The sequence below is a fragment of the Homo sapiens genome, chromosome 4, assembly GCF_000001405.40.
Source record: "Homo sapiens chromosome 4, GRCh38.p14 Primary Assembly".
In the NCBI taxonomy this organism is placed as follows: Eukaryota; Metazoa; Chordata; class Mammalia; order Primates; family Hominidae; genus Homo; species Homo sapiens.
In genome coordinates this window covers 137205184-137213876 of record NC_000004.12, presented here as the reverse complement: position 1 = coordinate 137213876, position 8693 = coordinate 137205184, and the positions used below count along the sequence as shown (strand labels likewise).

Below are 8693 nucleotides of genomic sequence, written 5' to 3'. Positions count from 1 at the left end.
ATTATGCTAAACATATGTTTATATTTAATTCGATGACTCCAACTCTAATCCAATGTTGTGTGAGTCATTCTAGACTTCTTCCCTTGCTTATCTATAATCTCTCTCTTCATCGGTGAGAAACATGATTCCCACCATCTGCTATTCATTTACTTGTTTGTTCAGTTCAAGTATACATGTATAGTAGTTTCAAAATTGTTAACATGTACTCCTTTGAAAAATGAACTTTATCAAATAATGTACAGTGTTTATGTATAGTTCCTTTTGCTTTTAGTCATTTAGATTCCACTCTATTCAAAATTTAATTAGGTCAGCACATTTTCCCTCCACACTTGAGGAGTTATTTTGTAAATTGGTCTAGGAAGTTCTCTGCTGAGGTGACTTTTGATGAGCAGATCTGAACTGAGGGAGGTAATAAGCCACATGGAAATTTGGTGATATAGCACTGCAGTTGGAGAGAACAAGTTCAAATGAGGAAGAAAGGGAATTGTAACAGCATCACAAAGGAATTTAGTTTGGATGTAACTATGAAGCTTATGGAAATTAATAGGTAATATTTATTATCCTAAACCATTAGTGGGATATTGGAATAACACACTGGTTTTCAAAAATCATGAGCTTAAGAATTATCTAGGTGCTTGTTAAAAACTTAGAACATTCTGAAACAAAATGTTTTGCTTAAAAAAGCTAGTGTCTTTAGACTAGCAAGTTCTAGTGTCTCTAGAGCCTTATTCTCATTGTTTAGCTCTACAAGAGGAATAACAACTATTACAGTTTCTTATGTATGCATTCAGAAATATGAGTATAGCATGTGCTGTTTGTGTAAATAAACTCGCACACGTTAAAGATTTTGTGACAAAACAGAGATTAATGGATGCCACACCTCAAAGTATCTGATAGAATACATTTAGTCTGGGGATAAGAATCTGCATTTTAAATAAGCACCCTAGGTAATAGTGTCTCAGGTTGTCTAGGAATCAGACTTGGAGAAACACCAGCTAAAGCAGTAGGAAGCCATCAGCTGTGTGAAGTAGAAATAAGCATAGAGCCTAGAGTTGACTTTAATGGTGAACAATGAGCAATTGTGCTGAGAAACAAAGGAGAGTGGATGAAGAACACAGCAGCCTGCCTCCACAGCTTTGGGTAAGCAGAGATCAGGAAAGCTCATCAGTGGAGAGGATCTTTTCAAACTCAAATTTTGTAAGCAAATTATGTGTCTGAAGATAGGATAAATTTATGATTATAATTTACATTGTGATTATTAGAGGCAGTATAGCATAGTGCTTTTGGAGCGAGACCACTTAGGTGGGAATCCTGGCTCTGACAATTACTAATGATACAACCTGGGAAATTACCTTAACATGTCTCTGCCTTTTCCTGTCCATAAAATGGATATAACAATAGTACTGACCTCACAGGAGCATTAATTCAGTAGCACTAGGTTCATAATAAGAGATCAAAGAATAGCAACTCTTATATATTTGGTTGCTTGTAAACATGACGGTGTTTATTTGTGTAGAGTATTTTACTTGAAAATGGGTATATGTCTAGGCCTATATCATTGAAGAACTCTACATTAAGTATTCTATTTAGCCTTGTCAGGCAATACAAAAATATATCATGAAAATATATTTTGCTTTAATGGAAATACTAGCTTATTCTTATTCTATGAGACTGTGCATGAATAGAGATGCTAGATATAATATGAAATAATCTACTCAACTAAAGATGGTTAGTTCTTTAGTTTTCAGGTGTAGAAAGAACAAACAATGTAGTCATTTTAACGTGACCTAGATGAAATTTCAGGAGAGGTCTTGAAAGGTGATAGATGTTTAATTCTGGATAATATTCACCTTATTGGTTTATTTGAAAGCAAAAGGACAGTCTAGGATTATCTAGGATCTTTCCAGCATGTCCTAGATTAACTTTTAAAGAATTTTCTCAAAATATTTAACCCTGGGAAAAAAAGCTTTGGGTTCAATAGTCTAGTTCACAGTTCACAAATAATTGGTTCTGGGTGCAAGCTAGAAGTTTGAATTTATGGTGTTCTATAAATATGAAATTTAAGTATTAACTATTGTTCCATCTGTTATCCCTCTAGAAATGATAAAATGATAGAAGTTCTAGTCTTAGGGAAAGTTGTTTCATGTGATGGCAGAGAAATTGGCATTTCATCGGAAGACTACAAAACGTGGAAAAAAAAAGATTATTTCGCCAAGGTGATATTTCTTCTCCTGAGTAGAATCATCCATCTCCTTTCTATGTGGTATGTTTACATACCAGACACACTTGATGGTTGGGTGTTGCTGTTATCACAGTAGGAAGATTTCTCACTGAACCCTATGCTTTCTGGAAGTAGGTCCTTCATGGTTTCCACTGTGCTTAGTGGGCCCAATGCTAGAGGCTTTCTAATCCAGTTTCCCTTTTGTAAGGTAGAGGAAGAGTTATTACCTAGAGAAATGCAATAGAGAATATGACCTTATGGTTTCAATACCCTTACTGTAGACATTTGACCAATCCATCTTTCAGTATCAAGCTTCACCTCCACCTTCCCCTTCAGCCAGTGACTTCAGTTCCTGAGCCTTTCTATAGTTGTGCTTTATGAACAGTTTTGCCTCTCACTGTCTTCTCTCACTGCAGTCAGTTTTTCAGCTTTCTCTGTTCCCTTTCCTTTTTCATCTTCACCTTGTAAAAAATGTTGAAATCTTGTCTATCTTGGTTGCCTTTCTAGTTCTATTTCCGTTTGTGTATTTATATGTATATTTTTAACTGATGTAATGGAATTTGAAGTGTGCGCAGATATAAACATATATATTCAACATCCCACGTTGATTCTGAAGTAATCCAATAAAATACACACTTCTATTGCACAATCCTCATTTTGTGTGCATATAGCTACTAAAATTATAGATTAACTCATTTGTCAAAATTGCCTGCTGAAATTATATTGTTTATTCATTTAACTGAATTGCTTAGTATGAAAATAATTCAGAATCTTAAAGAAGTCTAATAGCAAATATTTTTTATGAAAAGTATCCTTATGATCTGGCATTTTTATAAAGAGACTAACCATAATTTTACTTTTTGCTTCCTTATCTTTCTAGGGTTCTCAACTTTAAAAATAATATTATTTTTGATAAACAAGCACCACACTGTTCATACAATTCTTTTATGTTTTTTTCTTTTTGTTTCAAGGACTCTTTCCATTTTTCCCATTTATCTATCGAAATCCTAACTATTCTTCCAAATACTTAAAAAACACCATACGTTTTCCACTTTTTTAACCAGTCAATATATCTCCTTGCTTTAAAACACCAAGACAAGTTTTCAATTCATCGAATCTATTAAAATCTCACTGACAATATCCTAGTCCACATCTGCATTGTCTATTTCTTGAACTATGGTAGGATATTTATGTATGTGTGTGTGTTTATTTTTTTTTTTTGCCACTAATCTTTCCCTCTTAAAGCATTCCCTGTTCTTCTATAAGAACTATTCTCCACATAACTTTTAAAAATCATTTCCTTTCCAAACAACGTATCTTGTTTTGCTCACAATTACAGAATAATACCAAGCACTGCAACATGGATATTCTTCCAGTTTTGCCCTTCTGGCTTCTTACACTCCTCCGTGTCTTCATTCCTACATCATGATAATATCTTTGACTCCAGGAAATGCTTGTATTTCATGTACAAATAGGTAAAAATTTACTAATAGAAAATTAATATTTCTTCTGACAATACTAAATGAATATTGCACTAATGTTTACATTAAAAGATCACCAGAATATTCTACTGATAGACTAAGTAGGATTAGTTTATCATTTATTAAATGATGACAAGGAGAAGAAAAAGTCAAAGGTGACTAATGCTTGAGGCTGGGCAATTGGTAACACAGTGTTGCCAGTAGCAGAATTCAGGGACTATGCAAGGAGGGAGATTTAGGCAGAGGTAATATGTTCAGTTTGGAAATAGGTTGCTTATGAGGACACAGTAATAGAGACAACATAGTAGAGTTGGAAATGTTACCATAAAGATTTAAGGAGGGTCAGGCTGATACATGTGCATTGAAAGTAATTTACATTAGGGTAAATGTCATGAAACAATTTAAATTACTGAATATTATACTAATTAAAATATTTAATTTAAGCCATCTTTTATATGAGGCAAATATCTTTTACTGTGACATCTTTATGTAAATAATAAATATTAGAAAAATCATGGAATCTCTTATAAATGATTCACTTGTTACATATTTTTTTCTTAAATCAACCTCCCTTGCTAAAATTATAACAAATGCACCTACTTAAAAACAAAATACAAGATTGTATTATTATCATTTAATCCAAGAAAAATAATAATACAAAATGAAGTAGATTCTTTCTGATATTCAAATGCCATTTCAACAGTGGTATGCAGTATTGTGCCTCATGGTTGTCATGGCAACTGCGTCTCAATTCTAGAGTATCAAATCCTCATTTTCTATGAATTTCCAAAAGAAAAAAAAGGTATAAAGTAATCAATTATATAATGGTCCTCTTTATCTTTTATTTTGATGCACCACATTTCATATGATATGAAATACACTTCAAATAAAGGGATAACTAATATCGATGTTGAAAATTTGAAAATTTAAATTAGACTAGTAGGTTATTTATTGTTCACTCATTTTAAAATTTAAATTGCACTAATAGGTTATTTTATTGTTCATTTTATTTATTGTTCACTCTCTGAAAACTAATACCCTAAATTTCTTCAAAAAAAGTATTATTTTCCAGAAAACTATTTCCATCTTCTACTTAATATTAGTTATCTAGTCAATAACTGGTTGAGGTTTTTTGAAGGAGTAGTAATGATTATGACTGGTTCTATTTTAGCTACACCCAGATCACATAGGAAATAACAATTTAATATTCCCTTATTTTCTAGCTTTCTCTTTGAAACCCAGATGCCTAATGTACTGAATAACTATTCTTTATATGTTAAAATATTACTCTGTATAACAACAGTCTACATACAGGATCAATAAAAATGTCTCATGTCAGTATTTTGTTTATTATGAAAAAATAATTTCCCAGCCCCAATAAGTATTTTTATTTTAACTCGTAGCAAACCAAGTGTATATTTGCATGTAAATGAGGTTATAGAACTTTTAAATAATAACTGTAGGTCCAAAAAATTAAAGTATTAGGAGAAGAATTGAAAGATTTTAATGGTCAGTCACAGGGTCTGTTTGCTATGAAGGTAGAAATACACCTTACTTAGAATAGCCAAAGTTGAATGAATATATAAAAGAAATACTTCCAAGAGAATTTATTGTTTAATACATTAATGTAGACTATTGACCCTATTAAAATCTAATGCTCCCCCATACTTGAATGTTTTGATAATTTTATGTAGTAATTTGCCTTATTACAGAATAATAAAAAGAAAACCACAGGATAGGAATTGGCATACTTTTAAAACCAATAGTTTTAATATAATAAACTTATATTTTTATTACTAAGTATTATTTTATCTAGAAATACTGTAAGAATTTTTATATAAGGAATTAGAATATAAAAATGTATACATCAAATTAGGCTTCCTCTAGAATACATTTCTATGAATATTTCAAGCAATGCTGGGCCAAAAGTGGCAGCATTGATTTCTTCCTCAGCAAGGAAATAGGTAATGCACATAGCCGGTGACAACGTGCCAGCCTTATGTTGATGGAGATAGCCTTCTCATCTATTTGTGACTGCATGCAGCCAGGAAATAAACCATTTTGGCTGAAATGACTGGTTTTTGTCGTCCTTCTCATTTTGCTGAACTCACTATTAAAAAAAAATTTTGAATCAATAAGCTATTCAGGCAATCGTGCAGATATGACTTTTAATTCTTAAGTCGATTTAACATGTGTTGAATTTTAGCATGAATCTAATCAGAGGAGAGGCCATTTCCAAGCAGTGAGCTCCAGGCTAAGATTTCCTTGCAAATAGCTCTAGAAATCCTTGTATTAAAATATGACTCTGCCTTAGCAAGGGAAAACATCATGTTGTTGAAAGGTACCTCCCAAAATTAAGACTTTTGGAATAACGTTTACTTACATCATCCAGGTACTGGCCATCCTGTTTTTATCTGGGACTGAGAACTTTTAAATTTCTGGTTTTATAAAACATTTTATTTTAAAGCCATTTTTGCTTTAATGATGACTTCAAATGCTTGGATTGCTTTCTTATATATTCAAAAGAACCGGAGGTTTGGGTGAAACAGGCCACTCAAATGTAATTCCAATACTATATAGTTGTGTTGTGTAACATTAAACAATAAATCATGATATTATGGTAATTTTGTCTGAAAGCAAGAATAATTATTATAATTCAGAAAGCTATCATGAGAAGTAAAAGAAAATAAAATGGTAAAACACCTGGTACAGTGCCTAGGACAAAATAGGCATCTGGTAATTAGCAATTTCCTTCTTTCTTCTCACTCTCCACTCTGGTCTCAAGTGGGCAATTGCCTTGAACTTTGCCTGTCATTTAATGTATAGATTCTTCTGGACAACAAGAAAGGAATCAGGCTTAAGGATATGTTGAATAGAGAAGTAAAATTTCTCAGAGCAAGTATTTCAAGTAGGTTATAAATATCACAAAGAAATTCATGTAATGATAGTTTTTGGAACATCTGCACAAACAAAATAACCATCTAAGTAAACAGAAGAGCAGGGACTGTTATTTTTTTTCCTGCAGATATTTGGCTTGAGCAGCTACTCTTTGATTTATATAATTTTATCATTATGCTGCAACTGCTTTCATTCTGAATTATTCATTCAACATAAGCTGGCAATAAAGGCAATGCCTTTCTTCAGCTAAAAATTCTCTGACAGTAAGAAGGTGGTTTAAATGAACCATGGAGTTTTTTTCTCTCCATTTTATGGTCTGAATAGATGTTGCTCTTGGACAAACCACGTTTTGAAAAAATTATCACAGCTTTAAGAAAAGCTACACACACACACCAATAGAATAGTCTTTGAGCCATGTCCTTGAATGGCCACTAGTTTCTTTTCTTGACTGCCTGCTTTTATGGAGAGAGTTTCATTGAAAGGCCTATAATGAAAATAACAGCACGAATATTGGCTTCTGCTGCTAAAGTTACTCCAGATGGTTACATTTTTTTTTCTAGAAAATGCATGTGTGCACATACAATTAGTTTTCATAGCCTGTGCTTTTACACATGAAACCAGGGAATAATGAATCATTAGTGTAATATTTTGGTCTTTATCAATAAAGTCCATATTAATATAAATAGCACATGGAAACTCAAGCAACTTTTTTTGTTTGGGTTTAATATTTTAAACCTAAATATTTACAGGTTATGTGATGCTTTTTGTTCTTGTTTTTTGTGTATAAGGCAGGCACTGGCTATACCACATTGAAATTATGTAAATTCTATTATTTAGTAATAATTACCCTTGAATGTTACAAAAGAAACTAAAAATTACTCTTTAAACTAGAATTCCTCGCCTGTTTAAAAAGATAAACACAGCAATTAGAGATTTCCTATTAGTATTCTATATATTGATCTTTCACTTATATTTAAAGAGTATTCTCACAATTTTTATTTTTATTAACAATAGCTGACACATTATTTGGAAGAAAGACATGTCTCTATATTAAATTGATTGATTGTATGAGTCTTTTGCACACTGAAACCTAAAAGAAATTGATGAAAGATATTAAAGAAGATACAAATAAATGGAAAGTCATCCAGTGTTCATGGCTTGGAAGACTTAATGTTAAAATGTCCTTACTAATCAAAGTCATTTATAGATTCAGTGCTATTCACATCAAAATCTCAGTGACATTTTTACAGAAATAGAAATAAGCAATCCTGAAATTCACATGGAATCACAAAAGACCCTAGATAAACAAAGCAATATTGAGAAAAAAGTACAAAGCTGGAGGCCTCACTCTGATTTCAAAACATATTATAAAACTATAGTAGTTAAAACAGTATATTACTGGCAAAATAAAGAACACCAGACACATAGACCAAGGGAAACAATAAAAAGCCCAAAAACAAACTTACACTTATAGTGTCGATTGATCTTCAGTGAGTTCCAGGAATAAACAATGAGAAAAGCATAGTCTCTTCAACAAGTGACATTGAGAAATTTAAATATCCACATGCAAAATAACTATATTGGTGCTTTGTGTTTTGCCATACACAAAAAATAAGCTCAAAATAGATTAAAGACTTAAATATAAGACATGAAACTATAAAGGTTTTGGAGAGAAATAGAAAAAAATTGTGATATTGGTTTAGAACATGATTTTTTTTGATATGACACCAAAAGCATGGGCAATAAAACCAAAATTAGACAAATGAGACTACACCAAAATAAAAAGCTTCTGCATAGCAAAGAAAACAATCAACAGAGTGAAAAGGGAACCTATTGAGTGGGAGAAAATATTTGTAAATAGTACCTGATAATGAGTTAATATCCAAAATATAAAAGAACTCCTACAACCCAATAGTAAGTAAAAACAAATAAGCTTTTTAAAAAATGAGCAAAGTATGTGAATAGATATTTCTATAAAGAATACATACAAATGACCAACAGGTATAATAAAAGATGTGTAACATCACTAATCAGGGAAATGCAAATCAAAACTGTAGTGTAATATTACCTCGCACCTCTTAGGATTACTATTA

At 31.8% G+C, this 8693-nt stretch overlaps 1 long non-coding RNA gene across 1 annotated transcript in view; it reads left to right on the top strand.

Moving 5' to 3' along the window:
• Window positions 1-1077: 1077 nt before the first annotated feature.
• Window positions 1078-8693, top strand: part of LINC02511 (long intergenic non-protein coding RNA 2511) — a 416898-nt gene continuing 409282 nt past the window's right edge. The window contains exon 1 of the long non-coding RNA NR_149105.1: window positions 1078-1140. This is a non-coding gene — a long non-coding RNA (long intergenic non-protein coding RNA 2511). The remainder of the gene's footprint in view (window positions 1141-8693) is intronic.